This window comes from Homo sapiens, chromosome 3 (genome assembly GCF_000001405.40).
Source record: "Homo sapiens chromosome 3, GRCh38.p14 Primary Assembly".
Classification (NCBI taxonomy): Eukaryota; Metazoa; Chordata; class Mammalia; order Primates; family Hominidae; genus Homo; species Homo sapiens.
The window spans coordinates 55,003,851-55,028,877 of record NC_000003.12 but is presented as its reverse complement, the minus strand read 5'-3'; the positions used below and the strand labels follow the sequence as shown (position 1 = coordinate 55,028,877).

Here is a 25,027-nt window from a genome sequence, read left to right as displayed (position 1 = left end):
GGGGCTTCCAGGAAGATGAGCAAAGCTTGTGTACAGATCTCAAAGTGAAACCGACGGCAATATAATTTTTATGAGAAGTGATGAGTGATACTAACTAAAAAAGCACACACTAAAAAACAAAAACAAAAACCTAATTTACCTTAGAAATTAATATTTTGCCAACACTGAAATGTTGAAATGAAAATGTTACATGTGTTTAAAGTTTTATTTTTGATTAATTATTTTTCTTAACTGGTTCTAACTATTTATTTTGCAATTGATTCTAAGCAAGTCTTTGTGAATCTCTTTCTTGGCAAAGGGGGCTGGGTAATCAAGAAGGAAAGAAACATACTGGAAAATAGTAAAACATTACATCCTTTTTAGATTCCAATTTTGTCCAACTTGTTGACAGTCACAAATGCCCAGAAAATATGGGCTGAGTTGTTTTCGATTGCTGTTTGAATAACAGATTAATTTAATAATCAGTGGGGTATTGGATGACAAAAATTATTGGTTAGAGCAGCCAAACCACCAACCCTAATGACATTCTTATGTAAATTCTTATTTTCTTTTAGGCTCCTGCATTCTTAATAAACCCTATATTTTTGAAAATCCCTTTAAAAACACTACATACTGTCCCTGTATGTTATAACAGATCTGTCTATGCTATAGACATACAAATGTCCACTTTTGGAGTTGCCAATTTGAAGGTTTCTATTTAGAGCAACTGAGTCACCTCTTGATGTATTTTCCATACGAAACCATCTAATGATTCTGGAAACAGGACACAGAAATGGAGTAGGACGCAGCTCAACTTTGTTCTTCAAAGACTTCTGAAGACTGAAAAGACTTCTGCTATATGGGTAGAACCACCTGACATGATTTACTTAGTTCTAGCAAAATGTTTAGACACCAGGGTCAGCGGATCTCTTCTAAGAGATGGGCAGATTGTTAATGACAGTCCAAAAGCAAACTGCAGCTGAAGCCTGTTCCCGTGGGAAGTGCTCAGTTCTTTGGGATTGTTGCTCTATGGTTTGCCATTGCTTGTGGAGGAAAGTAATCGCTGCCTTGAGACTAGTTTGTAATGGACACGGTTCTGTATGTTCCATTGCGGAAGGCGAGATGTTTTCCTATGAAAAAGATCTTACTGCGTAATTTCTGAAATACTATAATTTTCACCAAACTCAATTTCCAGCGCACTCCTGGCCAAACGCTGCAGAATTGTGTTATTTTTGAATGTCATTGCCCCTGACCTGAAGTTACCTACAAAGTTGGTCAAAAATTAGTAATTGTCTTAGAGAACTAGACCTGAAAAATCTCATTCCTTCCAGGGAAGGGCTGATAAATTTGTATGCGAATTAGATGTAAAGCAGAGGTACAGATTCAGCTTTCTGGATGCCACCAATCATGCTGGCCATTGTACATCTATGGGTCATCAAGAAGAGTAAGACAACAAAAATCAAATAACATTATTTTCCTCCTTAATATACTGCATTCTGAGAATACAAAGCTCACAGAAAATGCCAAACAACAGCTTCATAAATACTTTGATAAATACTCAAATATATCTTCTAATAAACTGTATTTCATAAAATGGAGCAAGGAGGGATAAAGAGAAAAGAATATGCAAAAGACAAGAATAAAAGGGTTCCACTCTTCAAAAGCACTCAACGAAACTGTTTATGGGTCCTTTTTTATATTGTATAAACATTAAATCGTAATTCTATAACAAAGCTTCACAAAGATTTTTGGATTAGGAATAAAAGTAGTCTTAAATTGATTTCTCATCCAACTAGCTACCCCAGTGATCTGTCAATTTCTAATCTCTAAAAAGAAGAGGAGGAGGAAGAGAACAAGTGAGTTGTTTGCTCTGTTAGGACCAGCGTGTGTGCGTGTGTGTGTGTGTGCGTGCATGCGCGCTTAGCGGTGAGAGAGAAGGAAGGGACAAAGGGGTAGCAAATGGCTGTCTGAATGAGGAGTTTCTGTTTCAAGAGGCCACCATGTCATTTTTCCCATCATCTAGAATCTGATCATTTTTACTCTTTTCCTTAAAACCTTTCAGTGGTTCCATACCGGTGTCAGGGTAGTTAGCATTTGAAGTCCTTCAAAGGACTAGTTCTCTTTGACAGGATCAAAAGGGCAACAAGCCCTAGGCCTTGATCAGCCCTTGTCCCCTCTGTCATCTCTCCTCACCCACAACTCTCTATTCAGCTTCCTGGAACTTCTAACAATGTGTTGACCAAACCACAATTTCTCTCATCTCCACAATGCTCTTCTCTCTGCCCGGGTGTGCATACCCAACTTCTCACCCTGGTGATATTGTGTTAGGTGCTATTTCTTCCAGGAAGCTTTTTTTGACCACCTAAGCCTTCCTTCTGCGACCCCCGTGTAACATTTACTCTCTAATCATGGCACTAACCATGGAGTATTGGCATTGCCTGGTTACTCATCTGCAAACTCCATGAAGGCAAGAATTTTGTGTGTCTCATTCACCACTGTCTCCTCAAAGTGCAGCCCAGTGTCTGGGATGCAAGCAGATGATCAAGAAATGTTTACTCAAGTCCTGAGCTATCTTCACATTTTCTTCCTATGACCCTAATTTGTTTTCTGAGTGAATTCCTTAGAGACCTCCTTCAACATCATTAATAAATCAGCCCTCATATCTTACCTGCCAAATTGCCATCTCACAAGTTAGCAATAAGAAACAGGCAAAACCATTCCATGATGTTAGAAATCAAGAGAGTGGTTATCCTGTGGTCAGTGAGGTTACACTTAGAGGAGGGCAGGTGTGGGGGTCGGTGCTTCTGAGGAGCCTGTAATGTTATTTCACTTCCTAACCAGGGTGCTGGTTATGCAGGAATATTCACTTTGTGCAAATTAATCAAGCTGCAAACTTACAGTTTGGACACTTTTCTGTAGGTGTGATGCTTCAATCAAATGTTTACTAAAAAAAAAAAGAAAAAACCCAAGTCCCCATTTCTGTCCCCACCCAGACTCCCGGGGCTTTATTGTTCTGCTTCTGCAGTGTATGACTGACCTGCCAGGTGGTGGTCTTGAAATAAAGCTTGGAAAGGAAAATCCTCCAATGCCTACAGTGTCTTTTCACTGCTGCTAGCACACTGTGCAAAGCTTTACTCCACTTACTACCCAATCTCCTGTGAGTCTTCAACCCAACGTGGTATTAGAGAGCTAAAACAGACTAGCCATGACTGATATAAATCTCTTCAGCATCAACTATGCTTTTTTTTTTTTTTTTTTTTTTTTGGAGATAGAGTCTCATTCTGTCACCCAGGCTGGAGTGCAGTGGCGCAATCTTGGCTCACTGCAACCTCCGCCTCCTGGGTTCAAGCAATTCTTGTGCCTCAGCTCCCGAGTAGCAGCTGGGATCACAGGCGCATACCACCCTGCCTGGCCAATTTTTGTGTTTTTAGTAGAGACGGAGTTTCACCATATTGGCCAGGCTGGGCTCGAACTCCTGACCTCAAGTGATACGCCTGCCTCAGCCTCCCAAAGTGCTGGGATTACAGATGTGAGCCACCGCGCCCAGCCTTCACCTTTGTATCTTATCCATCTTGGCATTCCCCAAAGCACCAGCACAGTTTCTAGACCACAGCAGGAATGCAATGACCTCCTATTCCTACTGAATGAAAGGTAGTTATTTCTTTAGTTTGAAATCTTTAGGTCACTTTCTTTAATCCAACTGCATTTCTTTCTTTATTTTCTAATTACGATTTCTAATAAGGAAAAATACTGCTTGCTCTAGCAATGTCCTATCTTAGTTCTATTGGTTTTCTCACTTAGAATAGAAATAAGAACCCTAACTCGCTCTACTAAATATGATTGTGCCTATCTTCACTAAGAGATACTGGCCGCCTCATAGAGTTTGTAGTTATGATGACTGAGGGTATAGTATGCATTTGGTCAAAAAGGATCTCAATCATTATAAAACCAGTGGCATTTACCTCACAAAACCATAGAGTCATGAATTGTCAACAACCCTTCCATCACACACGGCCTGTGATCATATCTGAGACATATATGCTATAGCTTTTTATACAGGGAATTCTACAGTAGTGAAATAACATTAGACTGTGGAAAGAAATATTCACATTTCAGCAGAATGGTTTACAGGTGTTAAAAACTTTTTATATATTTGGTGTTATGTGTTTCCATCTATTCAGGCTGCTATAACAAAATATCTCAGAGTGGGTAATTTATAAACAACGGAAATTTATTGCTCACAGTTTTGGAGGCTGGGAATCCCAAGATCAAGACACCAGCAGACTTAGTGTTTAGTCAGGGCTTGTTTTCTGCCTCAATGATAACACCTTTTAGCTGTGTCTTTACATGATGGAAGGTCAAACAGATTCCCTCAAACTTATTTTATAAGGGCACTAATACCTTTCATAAGGGCAGAGACCTCATGATCTAATCATCTCCTAAAGGCCTCTCTTCTTAATACTATCACATTGGGGATTAGGTTCCAACAAGTAGATTTTGGGGGGACACCAACATTCAGACCATAGCCTTATGCACATGTTACATGTGACTGTTTACTGAGTACTTAATCTGATTCAGGCATTACGCTAAATTCACAACACACATTTTCTCACTTTAACTCCTATAACAAGCCATGATATGCTTACTATTATAATCCCCCAAATCACCCAGGAATAAGCAGAACTTCATGGAGTTAAGGTTTTTGTCCAAGGTCAAAGAGTGAATAATTAGTGAAGTCAGAACTCACATTCTGAACCCATTGCTTCCAAGGCTCCTGCATGAACCGTACACTTCAGTACTTTCTTGTGGTGGATCTAGAATGCCCCCAAGTCAGAAAAACAAACTATAACATGGTAGACTGGGCAAATGTGGAAGCCATCCTGCTCTAAATACTCAGACACACTAGATGAAATAGTAAAACAAAACAAACATGTTTAAATACAAAAGATCTTACAAGAGAAGACACTTAAAGCTAACTTGTAAATTTACTGCTAAGTGTAAAAAATGGATAATCTGGCACTCTCTGAGGCTCTGAATAGGAAAACCAATATTGCCCATGAGAAATCAAACTTCAAGCCTAAACTACATGCTGCTTAGGAAAAATATGTATTCTAATTATATGGTACAGAAATTCCTAAATACAAAAAACTTACATAACAATTATTCCCAGGCAGTCGTTACTAATAGGATACATGATAGAAGCCAAAATGCAAATATATTGTGAAGAGAAACTCAAATTCTATTCTGTTCCCAGAGAAATAATATTTAATAGTAGAGATCAATTCACAGTTAAAAATGACAAAATACATGAGCCAATAATCTAACATGGAAAAACACAGATAGAAGAAAAAAGAGGATTGATACTCCTAAAATTTAAACTATTAGAACAATCTTAAAAGGTTTTTATAATTTGGTACAGAGAACCGAAGAATAAGACTGTATAAAAGAAAACATATATTTTTAAGAGAAGCAAATGAAATGTCTAGAAATGAAAAGCTCAATAGATTGTTTAAGCAGCAGACCAGACAGGATCAAAAGGAAATTAGTGAACTGGAATATGAGTTTAAAGAAATTATCCAGAATAAAGCACATAAAAATAGAAATGAATTTATATCTGGAATCACTTCAGTGAAACCTCAGAACATTCGAGAGAGACTGAACACTGTAAAAGCCATCCGAAACGGGGGAGAGGTCAGACTACCTACAAAGGTACAAGGCTAAAAGTGAGAAGACAATGGAATATCTTCAAAATATTTTAATTTTGAGGTTATGGAGATAAACCATCACTGTTGAGTACATACTAAATTTGGGATTTTAGACAAAGAATGAGAATTTATCACTCTCAGATCATTCTTGGAAAAACTTCTGAAGTACTGTAAAACAAAAAGCAATGCTTTTTTTAAATTAAAGAGTAACTATAAACATATAAAAAATGCAGGTAAACATGTTATTTACTATAGGCAGCAGCAATAGTAATAGTTATTTCATGGGTTAAAAACACAGTAGAACTAGAAGGTTAGAAAATATTATATGAAAGAGATGTGAGGTAATCCAACTTAACAAAATGTAAGTTTTTGTTTGTTCTGGAGGAGAGAGGAGATCCTCACCAATTGAAACATCGTAAAAAGGCAAAGGGCAACTACTAAAGGAATAGTGTGTACTTTACATAGAGTATGGAAAAAAAAAAAGGAATAGAAAAACCCAATCAATCCAATGGAAGGGAAAGAAACGAAGAAAAGGAGAGAGAGGAAGGAAGGAGGGAAGGAAGGAGGAAGGGAGGGAGGGAGGGAAGGAAAGAAAGAAGGAAAAAAGGAAGGAAGGAAGGAAGGAAAGAAAGAAAGAAGGAAGGAAAGAAAGAAAGAAGGAAGGAAGAAAGGAACAAAGAAAAAACATGAGGAATAAGAGCATATAAAATGATGGTAGAAATACTCCAAACTTGTTGGTAAGCACCATAAATTTTAAAAGATTAAACTATCAGATAACAGAAATAATAAAAACTTCAAATCCAGCTATATTCTGTTTATAAAACAAAATCCTAGTGCAAAATGACGAAAAAGGGTTGAAAATGGAGGGAAAGGGGAAAATATGGCTAGCAAGTATTACCAAAATAGAGCTAGTGTACCTCTGCTATTAGCAAACCAAATAGACATTAGGGCATAAAGCACTTTCATGTATAAAGAGGGTTATTACATAGTGATAACAGGAATGATTTCTTAGGCAGCTATAATAATCATGAACAGGGATGTCCATGGTAAGTAACATAACTTCAAAATACAGAAAGCAAAATGAATTGAATGGCACAAAAACGTCCATAAGCCTGGTGAGAGATTAACTGACATCTAAAATAGACTGAAAATAAAGGTAGGTTTGAAACATAATTTGTATACTTTGTCCAAAGGACGCACATTGATCCCTGTACCCAGCTATTAGAGAATGTAACTTGCTTTCAAAAACATGTGGACAAGGACTGGAAATACAAAGCAAGTTTCCACAGATACTAAAATAGATGTGTTATACAGACCACAAGGCCATTTAATTAGGCTTCAGTAATAAAAAGGATGGCCTCAACTCCCATATATTTGGACATTTTAAAACACGATTTAAGCATTTACAGATCAAAAAATGGTAAAAATGAGAAACTTGTTAGAGATGAATAAGAATGAAGGCTATATATATATATATACACACACATATATATATACACACATATATATATATACACATATATATATACACACACATATATATATACACATATATATATATATATATACACACACACATATATATATATATATAATTTAGAGATGCACTGGAATGCAGAGAGAAATGTATACCTAGACATATATATGCTTATATCTATATACATATAAAATGAACCTGAAAAGCTAAGCATCAAAGACAAAATGTTAGAAAATAAAAAAACAATGTAAACTCAAGAATCATAGAAGAAAGATAAAACACATCTCTGGCAGTATGGAAAGGGAGAGAGAGGGAAGGAGGCAAGAGGAAAGGGAGCAAGAGGGAGGATCAATTAAAAACTTTAAAAGGGGGCAAAATCACAAATACAGTAACATTTTTAATCAAAAGAAAACACTATCAACAATGCCTGCAATAACCTCGAAAAATGAGATGAAACAGGCAGTTTTCTAAGAAATATAATCACCAAAACCATTTCAAAAGGAAAAAGAAAATCCAGAAATATCTAACCACAAAAGAAACTAATTTCATAGTTGTAAATGTATACACACATGAAAAAACACACACATACAAATCCCACCAGTCACTAATAGTTTTATAAGTTTTACAAAGCCTTCAAGAAACAGATACTGGATTCCATCTTATATTAAATGCTACAGATATTACAGAAAGAGGGAAAATGTAAGTAATTTTGTGGCAATAAAATGACCTTAATAGGAAAGCCAAATGACAGTGCAAGGAAGAAAAAGTATCGCCACTCTCCTTTTTGAGCATAAAAACAAAAAGTTCATGGTGTAAGTAAATTGAATCCAGCAATATGTGTGATATATTATTACTTTTTTTTTTTTTGAGACGGAATCTAGCTCTGTTGCCGGGCTGGAGTGCAGTGCTGAGATATTGGCTCACTGCAACCTCCACCTCCTGAGTTCAAGCAATTCTCTTGTCTCAATCTCCCGAGTAGTTGGGATTACAGGTGCCCGCCACCATGCCTGGCTAATTTTTGTATTTTTTAGTAGAGGCAGGGTTTCACCATGTTGGCCAGGCTGGTCTCAAACTCCTGACCTCAGGTGATACACCCGCCTTGGCCTCCCAAAGTGTTGAGATTACAGGCGTGAGCCACCGCGCCTGGCCTGTTTATGACAATGAAGGTCCATCCTGAAAAAGCAAGTATATTTTCACATTAGACATTCTACATACTATTAATATATAATATATACTACATATAAAGTATGTAATACATACATACTATACATATGTAATATATACTAGATTATGTATAATACATATACATATGTATTATATATTTATTTTATGAAAATAGAATCACAAAATATACATTATAGATATCATGAAATAATACATACATACGATATGTACATATAATACATATATTATACATATAAAAACCCTATCAGAATTCATGGAAATTAATAAGCTAATTCCAAAATTAGTATGCAAGAGTAGAGTCAAGAATAACCAAGAAAATTTAGAAGTATTTTATATGTATATATATATTTCATGATTTAAAATTTTAGAAATATTAATGTAACATGTTAACAAACTAAGGAAAATTTTTTTGTAATGGATGTTGAATTTTCTTATAAAATTCAATATCAATTTAGATTTCAACAATAACAATGGCAACAAAAATTCTTACAAGTTTTCTTCAGCCTCATAAATCGTTACTACCAAAAATCTACAGCAATTATGGAATTAATAGTGATGGTTGCACAACACTGTGAATGTACTGAATGCTCCTGAATTATACACTTTAAAATGGTTAAATGGTAAATTTTATATTCTTTATATTTTATGACAATAAAAAAGTCCTTTAGCAAACATACTTAACATGTAATTATTGGAGGCACTTCCTTTAAATCAGGAATGAGACATGGTTGCCTAATCTCATCGCTTTTATTTAACGATGTGTCAGAAGTATAGTGCAACAAAACAGAAAATAATAATTAAGTACGGAGACTAGAAAGAAAATGTTTCACAAATGATATTACTGTCCATGCAAAAAGTCCAAGAGCATCCATACACAAACAAGTCGATCTCAAAGAGCATTTAGCAGTGTGTTGGATACAATATTCAATCTACAGAAATCAGTGATATGTTCATATACTAGTTATTTCAAATTAGAAAAGTAGTTTTAAGTATATACTATTTATGATAGAAGAAAAACTATGGGGTGTGTAGGTATAAATATATAAAGTTATAAAATTGTATTAAAAGGCATAGAAAAGGCATATAACTAAAGACATATACTTAGTTTATTATAAAAAATAGTAATTATCTTTAAATTGATCTATCACTTACAGAAATTTTAATGAAAACCCTATCAGAATTCATGGAAATTAACAAGCTAGTTCCAAAATTAGTATGCAAGAGTAAAGAGCCAAGAATAAATAAGAAAACTTAGAAGAAGAATAAGGAAAGGAGCTTGTTCTCTTAAATACCAAGTCATATTATAAAGCTATAATAATTAAAGAGATACGGTATTGATATATAGGTATTAAGAAACCATAAGATCTGGAAACAGATCTGCATATAGATGGGAACTCAGCCCATGACTAGACTTATTAAAAAAAGAAAGAAAGAAAGAAAGAAAGAAAGAAAATTTCTATGCATTGTGTGCCTGTAGTCCCAGCTACTTGGGAGGCTGAGACAGGAGGACTGCTTGAGCCCAGGAGTTTGAGACCAGCCCAGGCAACACAGTAAGACCCCATCTCTTAAAAAAAAAAAAAAAAAAGGCATCTGTAAAGAGTCAAACCATACAATAGGAAGACCCACATACAATGCATACGATTGTAAAGAAATAGTATCCGAAAGAGAAAGAACACCCAAATCAGTAAGAGTAGATCCAATCACCCAGACGGGAACTGTCCAATTGAAATAAAGAGGTCAGAAACCCCAAATAACCAATAAAGCCATTAAAAGAGGCTCAACCTCATTAGCAGTCAGGGAAATGCATACTCAACCACCAAGAAACATTTCCAATTTATCAGGTTTGGGTAAATCCTGAAGGCTTGTGCCTTCAGTAAAGATACGTAAGGACATTCTTGAACACACAGTTCAAATTGCCAACCGTCAATTAAGAAAGCACCAATTAAGACTTTCTCAAAACATGAACAAACTGACCTACAAATCTCCTATACTGCAGGATGTCTTTTCATGCATTCTGAATGCTTCCCAGTGTCTAGAATATCTTATAAAGCCAAGTGGTGTTTCTTCCAAGCTGATAGAAATACTTCCTTACGCAAGAGGGCAGCCATGTTTTCTATTGGTGTAACTGTGCCTGCAAGTCACACAGACCCATCTGGGAAAGTTCTGTGCTGAGCAGAAAGGTGTAGGGGGTTAGAGGGTGGGGGGATGGCTTACTTGGAGCAGTCTTCACAAGCAATATTCCCTGTAGTCTCCTTGATGGTGCGCTCAGAGACGAATGCTGGATATTCAGTATCACAAGGCTCCAGGGTCTGTTTCAATTTCTGGGCTGTAGGGATAGTGGGAAAAAAAAAGGTAAAGAATGCAAGGCACAGGCTCAAAATTGTGACTGGCAGCCCACAGCAACCCAGAACACAGTTCCGCTTCTGCTGCTCTGTGATTTTTCTAGCACAGCATAATGCATTATTTTCTAATTAGTCAAGTGATTTCATCTGCCAAGCAACTCTATAAGCTATAATTCCTCCAACAGTTGTGTTGGCTGGATCAGCTATCATTTATGCATCACAAGAATTCTACTTTCTGGGACAACATCAGTCACTGGGTCTCTGACTTCAGACTTACTCAAACTTAGCAACAACACATATGTGTATCTGAATAAATGTATAAAATATAAGTTATACCATATTATTTAGGGTGAGACAAAGGTCATGATACAATTGCATGGTTTTATTATAGAAAGAAAATTGAAATATGAAATAGTAAAATACGTAATGTCTTTGAAGCACAGCCATGAACCAAATCCTACTATTATGAAGCTCTCTGTCCAATAATACAACATGTCAATTTTAAAGCACTAAATAACCCTGGTATGTGGATGAGCACATAGTAGGCACTCGGTAGAGGCTTGGCAGTTGATTGTCCAGTGGGCAAGATCCAAAACCTCACTAGGTCTCAATTTTCTTATTTGTAAACTGAGGATAATAAAGTTCTATCAGAGGTTGATGTGAGAAGTAAATAAAACAATGTATATTGAGTACTTAGTACAGTAACTGGAACATAATGAGTGTTAAGTAAATGTCAAATAATGATAATAATAATAGCAACAACAACAAAGATAACGGTAGCATTCTAATGAAGCCATTTTGACATTATAATGATGACAATAATGATAGACACTATAGTATAGTGGTTAAGGGTGAAGGCTCTGAAGTAAGAGAAGTTTGGAGTACCAATCCCTGCTTTGCTACTTCTAGCGAATCCTCACTGTTCTCACCTGTAAAATGGGGATGCTAGTAGCATAGGTACTCTTCACAGGAGGTCTACTGGTTAACATTTCCCCAAGAGAATGTTTGTAGATTTCCAATACCAAAGTTTGTACAAAGCCTTCAGCTATTGTTTTTGTAGGAAAAAAAAATCTTATTTACATTTCAATTCCAAAATTCAATGGGATTTTAACAAAACTATGTGTGAACAAACTCTCATGTTACATTCCAAATATAACTGGTTGGTGGGCAGAACTACGGGGAGATATTTTGTCCACTGTCCATGTGGGATGTTGCTGTCACTAAGCAAGCCATCAGTGCTACTGCACACAAAACAACTGCTGAGTAACAACCAAACACTTGTGGGGTGATCAGGAAACGATTCTAAGCATTTGTAGTATCCTAGCATGACGGTTTCTTATATGTAGGCTTTTCATTGAGGTTTAATTATTTTGAGGAAATTGGTTGGGGGTTTGGGGTTGGAGCACAATGCATTGTAATCTTTGTTATTTAAAACAAAAGGAAGTAGACTCGTCATCAGCTCTTTTAGTCAGAATATAGAATTTTCAGTAACTGGTCACTGACATTAAGGGGAAATGTCTATAGTAACCTCACAGGATCGTTCTGAGGAATAAATGAACAAAAGCATGCACAGCTCTTAGCAGAGTGAAGCCTGCACGCACTTTTGCCCACCTACATGCATGCACACAGCCTTCATGAAATGCTAGTCATTAGCAAATGTTACCATCCACAGGCCAGGGGCTGGCTAGCTATGTAGTAGCTAAAAGCACCAATTCCAGGCAGTGAATCCTGCCACTGCTGTGTGACAGCAGGTAAGCTTTTAACCATTTTACATCTTAGTGTCCTCGTCTGCTAAATGGGAATAGCAGTACCAAGCTTGTGTGGTTGTTTGAGAATCAAATGAATTACATGGACAGTAGCTGGCACGCTGTGAGTGCTGCTTAAGTGTATGTTTTTACTACCACCATGACTCCTGCTGCACTCGTGCTATTTCATGGAGTCGGGCTTTTTGAACCATCACTTTTTGGTAGAAAAGGCAAGCAAATGGCTGCCTCTCTGACTCCTGACTACACTGATTGTACAGTGCTGGTAGTCATTCTCCAGAAAGGCCAGGTTTCAGACACTATCCCTCTGTCCCCAAGATGCTAGCTCATTGGAGGGAACATTAAATGCCTGCTGAATACAAGAATGACTCTCTTGAGTAGTGTTTTCAAACAAATAAAATAGAATAAAATGGACCAAAAAATGTGAGAACCTCTGTCCCTTACGACACATTTGTTTCTTGCCTTTCAGATGGAGGGTAAGGTGAATTTTAGGTGCTCCAGGCCCAACAGTAACAACACAGAAGAGGCACGTGGTGGGAACATCATTCTCTTCCCAAATCTTTTTCAGTGCGTCTGTTTTGTAAGAAGGACATCTTTGTTTGATAGCAGGGAGTTTCTAACACCTTTCTATCTTTTTCACTTCTTTCTCTCATTTGCTCTCCTCTCCTTTTAAGCTGAAGAGGCCAGACACAAAGCTCATAGGATCTGGCTACAATTTGGCAACACTTTTTATTTTCATGGTTCTGATTTTTACAACAGATTTCTCTGTATGGCAAGTCATTCTGGTTTTCAGTTTATAAAACTTTCTTTTCATATTTAAATTATTTGAATTTCAAAAAGTGAGTCCCTTGACATGAAATAAAGATTTAAGTATACAATAGCTTAGGTTATAAGTGGATGCGGCACAAGCATGCAGATGGAATATAAAAAACTAATGATGGCATAACAGCTACATTTATGAAGAAATTGCTGCGTTCCAGATGCTGTCCTGCTTAATATGAATTAATTAATTTAATAGTAAAACATGACAAAATTAAAAAATAAACTATGAGGTATGAACAGTTGTTATCTGTTTTGCAGATGGTGAATGGAGGAAAAAGAATGAGGGTAAATTGCCCAAATTCATCCACTGAGTATGTGGCAGAACCAAAATTTGACCTTGGGCTGTCTGGCTCCAGCATGTATATGTTTAACTGCTCTGTGAAGTTCAGCCAATGAAAAAAAATAAGAAAGGTCTTTGGGTCAGGCTGAGATAGGCAGCACACGTGATTTGAATAAGCCTGATAATTGCACCATCTCTAATTCTAATTGTCTGGGCCCAGTTACAATGGAATGAGTCCAATACTCTCAATGGTGAGACTCATTTGGCTCTGATCCTTTCTGGAGATGAAATTCTTTTTCCTTTGACAATTGTAGGGCACTCCATGCTGATATAGTGATAAACCGTTGGGTCTATTTGCAGCACGACTATTGGCTGGAAATTGCTTGATGTGCTTTTGGGAAACGTGAATTATCGTGTAAAGCCATGGCCACATTTAATTTAAATAACATGGCTAGAACTTACTTTGTCTAGAGTGCTATGGAAAACACCACATATATGTGCAGTTGCTACTATTTATCTATGGAATTTCAAACCAATAACTGAGGCTGCTTGCAATCTACCGGATACTGTTTTTGTTGTTGTTGTTGCTGTTGGAGACAGAGTCTCACTCTGTCACCCAGTCTGGAGTACAGTGCTGTGATCTCGGCTCACTGCAACCTCCGCCTCCTGGGTTCAAACGATTCTCCTACCTTAGCCTCCCAAGTAGCTGGGATTACAGGCACGCGCCATCATGCTTGGCTAGTTTTTTTGTATTTTTAGTAGAGATGGGGGTTGCACCATGTTGGCCAGGCTAGTCTCGAACTCCTGGCCTCAGTGATCCGCCCACCTTGGCTTCCCAAAGTGCTGGGATTACAGGCGTGAGCCACTGTGCCTAGCCATACTGGATACTGTTTTAACTCTTAGGCATTCAGAACTCACATCTTACAAAGCTGTAGGTATTCAAGGATCACTGAGCTCAGTTTGGCTGATTCCTTCTTTTACAAGAAGTGAAAAATGAGGTTCCAGAAGCAGACACTGCCTGCCGTGGGTCCCACAGAGAGTGACTCATCACAATCATCATTAACTCACACAGTAAACCACCACCACCTTCACCATCAATCTTCACTATGCACTTACTACATGCCAAACCCTGTGCCAGGCCCTTAGCATGGGCAGAATCTTCATCACCATAGAATAAACAAGCCCTTGCTACTGTCCCATTTTGCAGATGAAGAAACTAAAGCTCAGAAACGAAGACACGTGCCCAAGGTCACACTGCAGTGAGTGATGGGGTCCAGATGCGAGCCTGGCCCTCACATCCTGGAGCCCACACTGCTGTGCCTCCTATCCCAGTTACACCGATGTCACCATGACCTATCACCCACTCACAATGAAGCACCCAAGGGAGCGTCCGCACAACTGAATTTCTTTAATTTTCCCTTAGCAACAAATGTCCCTGATGAGAAAAACTGACTTGGGTTCACAGTAATTATGTGCAGACAATTGGGATTGAATAGATTTGCCATTTGAAAAGCCTTCCTCTTCTTTTGTTTCTGTGAATGCACCCCTGTTCACAACCGGGTGCCAGCAAGCTCTGTTCTCTTTGTGTAACTTCACCAAAATGATACCTTTGTGATAATCAAGCAGAAATGGGCTTCCACAGTCCCCTTCATTAAGGAAATGGAGCAGATAAACAGTGTAATTATGGATTCCATTTTTAGCTAAAACAAAGATGTATGTCTCAGCTCAGGGTCTTTATCTTTTGAGGGAATGGTAAATTTAGAATGAAGAAACCTTGCAAGCCAATAGCATATGGTGCCTGGAACATTTCCCTCCTTACGCTGGGTCTGGGATTTATATTTACATTTAATAAGATATCCCAATGACAGCAACCCTGTAGATGGACGAATTCACCTTTGCTTGTTTTCTTTTCTTCATCCATAAAATGGAAAAAGTCATATTGATGCCCAGCAGAGGGCTGTCAGCTGGAATGAGACAATTCCAGTGCAGTAGCTGCAGCTCTCGCTGTCGTCATTAGCTGAGGGAGGTCTTGGCTTAGGTCTGAGTCCACTGCCTCTTAGCTGTCTGACTTAGGTGCTTCAGAGAGGCTTGGTGGCAAATTCTAGCAGTCCCCACCCCTCAGGTATGTTGAACAGATCTGAAGATAATCTATGTGCCAGCTCTCTGGAAATGGCAAAGCACTTATGTATCAGCACACCATGCATCAATGATGCAATTATGTGACAAGGTCTCTCTGTAGTCTGTGGAAAGGAGGTCTCACAGTCTGGCAGTGGGAGTCAGAGGACATGCTGAAATGATCTATTTGGGGTCCTTTCTACAAAGCTCCTTAAGACAGAAAATAGAGAACTGAAGCACCATATTATTCCTTTCAGCTAAAAATTGGACCACTTTTGGTCCAGCTGGGGTGGGGGTGGTGAAATTGCAGAATGGGAGCCTTCACAAGTATCTCTCAACGTCATGGGTGCACAGACCATACCTGGCTCCCTTAGTCACTGTCCCCTACTCTGCACCCCTTGGTCTAGGCCACGGTTTCTCAACAGTGGCATTATCGATACTTTGAGTGGGATATTTCTTTGTTATGGGGGCTGTCTTGTGTTTTGCAGGATATTTAGCTGCATCCCTGGCCTCTACGCACCAGATTCTAATAAGAACCCTCCTCCCCCATGCTATGACAGCAAAAATGTCTCCAGCCATTCCCCTGGGAGGCAAAACTGCCCCCATTTGAAAACCACTGTTCTAGGCAAAGATCATAGTGAATGGCATTCAGTAAAAACTCTAGAATCCATAGGACCAAAATAACAGTATGACTAGATGTCTGTGGTGGCAGGTCACAAAGAAGGGAAACAGGTCAAGGCCAGGATGAGGGAAGTGGGAGTGAAAGCAGACATGAAGAGAAGGGAGCGTCTTCACTAGGTATGAAGAAGAATGCCAAAAAGAAAACCACTGAAAACAACAAGCCTGCTGCCTTCAGCCCTGTGCAAACTCCTAAGAAATAACCAGACATTTCGGTTAAAAAAAAAACCACCACCACCCAAAGCATGAGCGCCCACCCACCATGCATGGAGTACTTGCACAAGGGCTTGGCACGCATTGCTTAATTCACCTCTCACAACCATATTATGTCTATTGTTTCCTCTGTTGACAAATGGAACCAAAGTCCAGAGAGACCAAGTGACTTGCCCAGAACCTCACAGCAGGCAAGAAGCAGAGAAAGGCTACCCAGGGTGCCTAACCACTAGGTTCCAAAGCCGCTCCGGCCTCTCAGAGCTCACAGTCTGATTCAGAGGGAGAGGGGATTTGTCCCCAGGTCACTGGTGCCGCAGAGACAGCAGCCATTTAACCAACTTGCAACTCATTTTCCTGGGCTCTATTGATTTTATTTTTTTTAAATCTCATTTTTTTTCACTCCTATTAGTAAAATTGTGGAAAAGTGAGTCAAATAAGAAAAGCGAATGGTAAAAGATAACCAAGTGCGCATTTAGTAGGTTCTTCCTCATCTTTCTTTTTTCAAATCATGTGCAATTTTAACAAAAGCAAGTTGACACTACAGGTAAGATTTCCTTTCGGGGACATGATAGTCTTCTTTTCCTAACTCATATGTTGGTGTTTGTTTATTGACTCCCTATTTCCCATACCAACTACTGACCCTAATTAGCTCCATATCTCCTTCCTCCCACCATTTTATGTGTTTTTGTGTATATACGGTTTTGTTTCCTGGGTTTTGTCTTGTTTTGTTATAATTTCATGAGCATTTTTTTAATTTCATCAAAAAGTTTTCAGAAACAGAATCATTTTTCTTTCTGTGGATGGGTTGTAATTTATTGTAAAATGGTCTTTAGTGTTAGACATTTAAAGAGTTACCAGTATTTGCGATTATAAATTCCCTGGTGATGATCATCCTATCATAGAAACCTTTGTTCCCATCCAGGTTTATGTCCTCAGGCTGAATTTCTATAAGTGGGATTTGGGGCACTCACTGTCACTCAGAACTCAACCCAGCAGGGAGGAGCAAAATTGGGTCCCAGTCCTGGGGGTCACCAGACCAATGTGCATGTGTGTGGATGAAAGCAGCACACAGGGGCCCTGCTCCACTGGGCTGTCAGCCTCCCAGGGCAGAGCCAAGCCTGGACAGGCATGGATTAGGCTCCCAGTTATCAGAGAGCAAACTATGCGGGCATCAGCAGGGGCAGAACTCAGCAGATTCTGCTCCATCTCATGTTCTAAGCAGAAATCAGAGAGTTCCTGGATTCCGGCAAAACGAGCCTATGTGTAAGTTACAAAGCCATGACTATAGTGACCCTAATGGTCATGCCTAGCACCAGAAAGATTTGTTAGGATATTGAATCAGCAAAGATAAAGCACCTACTGTGTGCTCAGCACCAGTTAGGTGTTAAGAGAGAACAATGTTTAAGACACAGCTCCTACCATCAAGAAATTCTAGGTTAGTGTAAAACACAAACAGTGAGGCAATAATGGTAAAGAAGAGATAGGATAACGCATGAGCTGACTGGGGCAGGAGCAAGAAGAAAATGTTCATTCTGCCTGAGGGAGTTGAGGGAATCCTCACAGACTGGGATCTTAAGGGAAAGGAAAGGGAATGTTAGATTAAAATAGATCCAGCACCTGGGGCAATGCTGATATGTGACTAATCAATCTCTTTTTTAAAAGACAGACAGTTAGAAATAATAAGAATGGTAATAGCCTACTAGTCCCTGGCCTCCCAAGTAGGAAAATGAACATGAATGAAGGAAAGAAAGAACAGAGTGTATCTGAGAAATAGCACATGAGTGGGCAGGCCTGGGGCAGACTGCTGGAGCCAGCGTTCATTAAGGATCACTGGATTTGGAGGCGATCATCATCATTGTCATGGTCACAGTGTCACCACCATTATAATTACGGATACTCTTTCTTTTATTTATTTATTTTCCTTCCAACTTTTATTTTAGGTGTGGAGGGTACATGCAGGTTTTTTATACGGGTCAACTGCATGTCTCGAGGGTTTGGTGTACAGATTATTTCATCATCCTGGTAGTGAACGTAGTACCCGATAGGTAGTTTTTTCATCCTCACCCTCCTCCCACCCTCCACCTCAAGTAGGCCCCAGTGTCTGCTGTTCCCTTCTTTGTGTCCATGTGTACTCAGTGTTTACCTTACTTATACATGAGAACATGCAGTATTGCTACTATTTTTTGAGGACTTATGTTCCAGTCACTGTGGTCAGCACGTAATATGATTTCTCACAGCATTAAACATACATGCACACACACACATTCACTTGCTAAGATAAATATTATTTTTCCCCATTGTGCTTAGCATAGGGAAACTGAGCCTTGGAGACAGATCAGCTGATATGCCCAAGGCCAACCTCTAAGCTGGGACTGAAACCTATTCTAACTCCACAACCCATGCCTCCAAGAGTCTCTACTAATTACACCCTCCTCAAATCATCAAAGGTATTTGAGAAGGGATAGTAATGTGGTCAGATTTATGTTCTATGAGGGTAACTGTGAAAACAGAAATAGAATGGCTAATCATTCATTTAGCCTGAGACACAGGCAGTGTGTCTGTCTCCCTTCTATTTCAGCATTGCCCATGAGCTTTCTGAAGAATTTACCTGTGCAATGTATGACCTCAAAGCCTTAGTTAAGGAAACAGGTCAAGATGTACATTCAACGTGGGCTGAATGAAGCCTGTGGAATTCTGTGTCAGACTAGATAGCACAGCACTTAGCACAAAGGCTGGCTTTTTGCTGACAGAGCTGAAAAATCATCACTTTGTCCTGGGGAATTTTCTGTGAGCCAGCACATCCCTGATGAAAAGTAGCCAGTGAACCCAGCGCTTATCCCTCCAAGCTGGGAAACAGAAACCAGTTGCTGCTCACCTTTAGCTGTCATATCGGAGTGCCACCAACTGCAGAGGTTAAATTCCACCAGGAACCTAAACAGATCGTGGAAAAGCCCAATGTTACTTCGTCATCCATGCCCATATCACAGAACAGTGACTTTCTGTATTCTTTGGCATCGCTTACCTCATTTGAGAACATCACAATTTGGAGATATCAACACAGTTGGCTGAGTTACTACTAAATTTTCACAGGGGTTTATCTTTCTTGTGAAAGGCTATTTTATCCCTAAAGCCAGGTTCACCTAGACTCAAAGATTCCTAGATGAGGAATAACCTGCTGTATAGGCTGAAATACTTTTCTCGTTGTTGTTCACCAGTTGTTCAATCTTAATATCATCTAGTTTGATTCCACAGTAAAAAGCCAATTTCTAATAAGCTTCTCTTCCCTTAGTTCAGAAATACAAATAGAATATTCTCCTCTACCAAGACTATGAACTGTAGTAATAAAACATGCTTTCAAAATGAATACTGCGACTTGAACTTGTTTAAGCCCCCTGTGTGTGTGTGTGTGTGTGTGTGTGTGTGTGTGTGTATAGAGGGAGGTGGAACAGACTTCTCTCTATGAAATTATGTCACAATGGAACTTCATAAAAATCAACATTTCTCAATGGCTGGTAAAGACTACAAAAATAATATAAATTATCCTCCAGTGGATGAAGAGAGATCAAAATTTGGTCATTTGTTTTTCAGGCTTATGGCTACTATTCCTAGCAGCTCTCTCTCAATCAAAATCCCACTATTATCTGTTAATGTTCTTTCTCTGCCTCATGTGTATATGGAGAATTTACTTCCCATTTGAATTCACAAACTTTATTAAATTAATATAGGTTACATTAAGTTAAGAGGACAGTGACTATCCATCAAATGGCATGAAATTTGCCTCAAACCCACAGAACTGGAGTCTGTAGGAAATAAGCAGGGGAAATAAGAATGAGAGAGTTTGGTACAACTTAAACAATCTTGTTTACATGTTCATCTATGTAATTCTTCCCTTTTGTGTGACACGGTGTTTCTGTAATGTGTCTAATATCTAGTCTGAAAGTCAAGACTTTCATCTTTGTGCCATTTCAAGTGTTATCTAAGTCATAGATGCAACCAGCACCTCCAAACAAGACCATAGTTTGACAGAATAAACAATGAAATCATACCTGAGAAAGCCCCCAGCCCTAGCTGACAATCTCACAGGCACCCATTCCTGCACAGGCCAAGACAGCCAAAGTGGCATGGTGGACAGTCACAGCAGTGTGCTCTTCTGACCACAGCCCACCCAGGCTGCAGTAAAATCAGCCAGACATCCATGTGAAATTGAGCAGTAACCACAATAAGTAAATTTGTTGTGTATTGCAAATGATCTGCTAAACGATGACCTAATAGCATAAGGAGTGATCAACAGTCACTTAATAGAAGATCATTTTTTGGTCTCTGTGTTCAATATTTTGAGATGTTCAATGAAGTTATCTCAGAGTACTAGGAATCTAATGGTTATTGAAGGCATGACTCACAATCTCTTAGATCACTTTATGATACAAAAAGGAAAATATTAATACTTTTCAAAAAAATGCAGCAGATTTTACTTACAAGACAAGTTCTGTCATGATCCATTTTACTGCAGAGAGGAAGGCATTATAAGGCTGAAGAGAAGAATTCAGTTCATTAAAAACAATGTAGTGCACACAAAATTTGTAGCTTAATTTAGGGCTTTACATAAGGACAATGTTATTCTTCTAGAGAGATTGATATCATGTTAAAAAACAGTGGCGTTCTAGCTAAGTGAAGAAAATTGTTGGATACTGTATCCTAAAACAAACATTTTAAAACTTTGAACTCCACTCTAGTGAGATGTGATTTACAAGTAAAATAAACCTGATCTAATACAAGGGTTATCAGTGGGAGGAAAAAGGAAGTTCAGCACCCGATGCTTAAACCTTTACCCTCTAGGGGCTAATATTTTGAAGCTTAATGCTGAGGGGGCTGGAATCATATAACTAATTTCAAATGGTAATTTACAGGGCAGCCTCTTGGAAAGGTGATTCCCTGTTCTCCATCACTGTATGTCATTCACTAAAATAAGCAAAAATTGCATACACCTGATTTTAATGCCGTCCACGAATTATGTAGGATTTAAGCTGTCTTTTCTCACACTTACATATTTGGACTTGAAGAAAATGATAACCATATAAACATGTGATTTTATCCTTGCTGAAAATCTCCTTCACTCTATAAAAGAAGGCATTGAAAGCCTAATCTTTATTTCAGAATATTTTAATTAAAAAAAGCAGTTGGATTGTTTACTCTGTGATATTTCCTATGTGGATAATTCAATTTCCTGAATTCTGGAAAATACCAAGTCTCCCCCTCAGTTGGTTCTTTGTACCTAGCTATGCCAGTTATGTGAGTGGTGGGTGAACTTGAGAGACAGACAATGACGCTGGCAAATCCCGGGCTCTGGGCTCCAGATGTCAGGTCCAGAAGAATCTCAGAACCTTTTGTGGTTGCCTTTAGATATCGGAGAATTGAAATGCATGCCAAATCCTTGCTTCTGCAGCTAGAGCTGCTTAATCCCACCTTCTGAGCATTTTAATTATAAGAACTAGAACTGAGAATGGAGGAATTATCCAGTTTTAAATGAAACAAGAACAAATTTACATGCCCCCAATCATTCTCAAAACTTTCCCAGTCCGGCCAGAAAGTAAATGAGCAGAACAACAACAACAACAACAACAATGCTGAGGCTCTTCCCAGCCCACCCAGATTTCAGACTTGGTGTATCTCTTGCTCTGGTTCAACCGAGTGCTTCCACATCATTCCTTGAATCACAGTGTTCTGGGCCGCCAGGATTAGGGTCAGATAAGGATGTGAACTTTTAACAGTTTCCTGAAACCACACTTTGCAGTCCTGCGGTTTTGCCATTACATTTTACGGCTTGAAAAATAATCATCTTGCTTTCAAAAAGACCGGGCTGGTCAGACTATGGGACGATGTTGTGTCTTTGTATCTGCTGGGTGGGTAATGTGGGTCAGGGGAAGGAGAGAGTGAATAAAAGGATTAAGGAAGCTTTGGAGGTTGCGGGGGAAAGAGGGCCAGAAGCAGGGGCAGCTCGCTCTGAGGCCAGGGGAAGGCACTCAGGCATTCCATGCCAGGCATTGGCTCAATATATGAGTAAACAAAGGGATTATGCAAATACAGGATTAAAAAAATTTAAATGCACATTATCATCTAAAAGCGTAAAGCCACTGAGCTTTTAAATCTAATGGTGAAAATATATCTTGGGAACCTTTAATGTCTGGAAATATTCATGCTAAGGTTAGGGGAGTTGGGTTAGAAAGACATAGTGAGTCTCACTAAAAAGCTGTATTTTTCAAAATATTCATTTTAGTTGCCTCTTACAAATTTGCCAGCTCTGAATCATTTCTTGCTCCCTCAGTGTAGGAGAACCGTGTTAATTATCTGTTTTTTAAATAATCCCCTTGTAACATCTTACATCTGCAAATTAGAAAGTATGCACATTTTAAAGCCAAAATGGCTTTTAAGTGTTGTGTTTCAAACAAAATTTTAGGTTAATTTTTGGTATTTACAAAATAATAACATTGTAAGGGTTATATTTAAACACATGTGACAGACTATCCAGAGGTACACTATGTCTGGTTTTTTTTCTGTGTTTTTAGGTATTGCTGGCCAAATTTACATTGTCTACGCATTGTAAATTATATTTTTAATTTGGGAGTAAGTGGTAACAGTTAATTTCTGGCCATCTGAAAGCCAGTTTCTAATGGTACAATAGCTATGCTGATTGATCCTCGTCTGTGACATCACCAAGGAATCAGCTCCAGGGAAAACGATGCTGAAACCCAGTGGCATGATTAGGGGAGAGGGAATACCTGTGATCAAAATGGGAATTAGGGCAAAAGCTCACAACTCTGTTACAAACTAAAAGGAAAAGTTCTGTTGAACAAAACCAAGTTCTTTTATATACAAATGAGAGAATTAACAAAACTTCTCCCTTTTTCCATCTGTCACAAGGGGCTGCTGCATTAATCCATCAAAGACTTTAGATCCATTTCTCATTCATATAATTACTGGATTTCAGTTGATATAGCAGTGGCTTTTTTTAATTTTAATTTAATTTAATTTAATTTAATTTTTTTGAGAGGCAGGCTCGCTCTGTTGCCCAGGCTGGAGTGCAGTGGCATGATCTTGGCTCACTGCAACCTCCTCCTCCAAGGTTCAAGCGGTTCTCCCGCCTCAGCCTCCCGAGTAGCTGGGATTATAGGCACACGCCACCACGCCTGGCTAATTTTTGTATTTTTAGTAGAGACAGGGTTTCACCATGTTGGCCAGGCTGGTCTCAAACTCCTGACCCCAAGTGATCCAGCCACCTCGGCCTCCCAAAGTGCTGGGATTACGGGCATGAGCTGCCGCGCCCGGCCTGAAGTGTTTTTTTTTTTTTTTAAGTGAGTAAAGTCAAAATGTTCATGATTTTGCAAAAAGATAAACTTGATTACTCCAAAGAGGAAGATAACACTCAGACAGGGAGAAAGACAGAAATGTGTGGCTGTTTTCTGAGTGACAGCATAGTACTTACATCCAGGAGGCCATGGGCGCCATCGCTGCTTTCCTTGTTGGCTCTACACATGGCTTGGTAGTCATAAAGGGTAATTCTACAGGAAAGAAATGGAAGGGAGCTTCACTAAATGAGAAAACACGGGAACCAATTGATGCTATGTACTACAAGGTGAGCAGTCACTATCATCAAGTGCAACGGTGACAAACACCATGCAGCCCTAACATGGATGATGAACAAGGAGCCTGGCAAAGGCCAGTGCTGGAGGCACAGTCATGTTACCACTTGGAATTTGAAGGACAAAGGGAACGAAGGTATTGGAAAGGGTAGAGGGGGATGAGGACCCATCTAACTTGACGAAACAGTCATTTGGTCTGAACAAGGATGGTCTGCATTGAGCAAGATATTCCAAAGGGAATGTGCTGTTCTGAACTGGATTCTAAGACCCGGATGGAATTTACTTGGGCCATGTCTCCAAGGGACAGGAGAACTAAGAAGAACCACTTTGGGATAAAGCATGGCAGGATTCTGTGTTTCTTAAGCACCAGGAAACAGGTTTGGACCAGGATAAGCCCTGTACATTGACAAAGTGTAGGAAACCAGCTGGCTTACTAATTGTAATCCCTACTCCTTATTGTCATCACCATAAGAGTGAATGTACCTTATTTTGAAAACAGCATAGCTTATGAAACAAAAACAAGGTGGACATTTTTTTCCTACACTGGCGATAAAAGTATGGCTTTCATCCCAATTATGACCTTTACTCTGTTGCAAAAATGTTTTACTTTAACATTATTCAATGTATTTTAATTCCCCCATCAACAAAGGAAAGGTGAATGGCAATTTCTGGTAGCATGTGTTCGGACTCAGAAACCATTACGCCAAAATATGGTGCTTTGACTTGAAGCAGTCTCAAAGTTTCTCCGACCTTGCTCCCTGTCTCCCTTACCACACAGTCCCAAACCACAGGATGCAGTTGTTTTCTGAAGTTCCCTTATCTATCTAAAAG

The 25,027-nt window shown here is 38.9% G+C and overlaps 1 protein-coding gene across 1 annotated transcript in view; it reads right to left on the bottom strand.

Moving 5' to 3' along the window:
* Positions 1-25,027, bottom strand: part of CACNA2D3 (calcium voltage-gated channel auxiliary subunit alpha2delta 3) — a 952,006-nt gene that overhangs the window by 45,680 nt on the left and 881,299 nt on the right. The window contains exons 32-35 of the mRNA NM_018398.3: positions 24,040-24,115; positions 21,036-21,088; positions 19,435-19,490; positions 10,561-10,672 (exon numbers count right to left, since the gene is read on the bottom strand). Coding sequence (NP_060868.2) covers positions 10,561-10,672; positions 19,435-19,490; positions 21,036-21,088; positions 24,040-24,115 — 297 coding nt within the window. The remainder of the gene's footprint in view (positions 1-10,560; positions 10,673-19,434; positions 19,491-21,035; positions 21,089-24,039; positions 24,116-25,027) is intronic.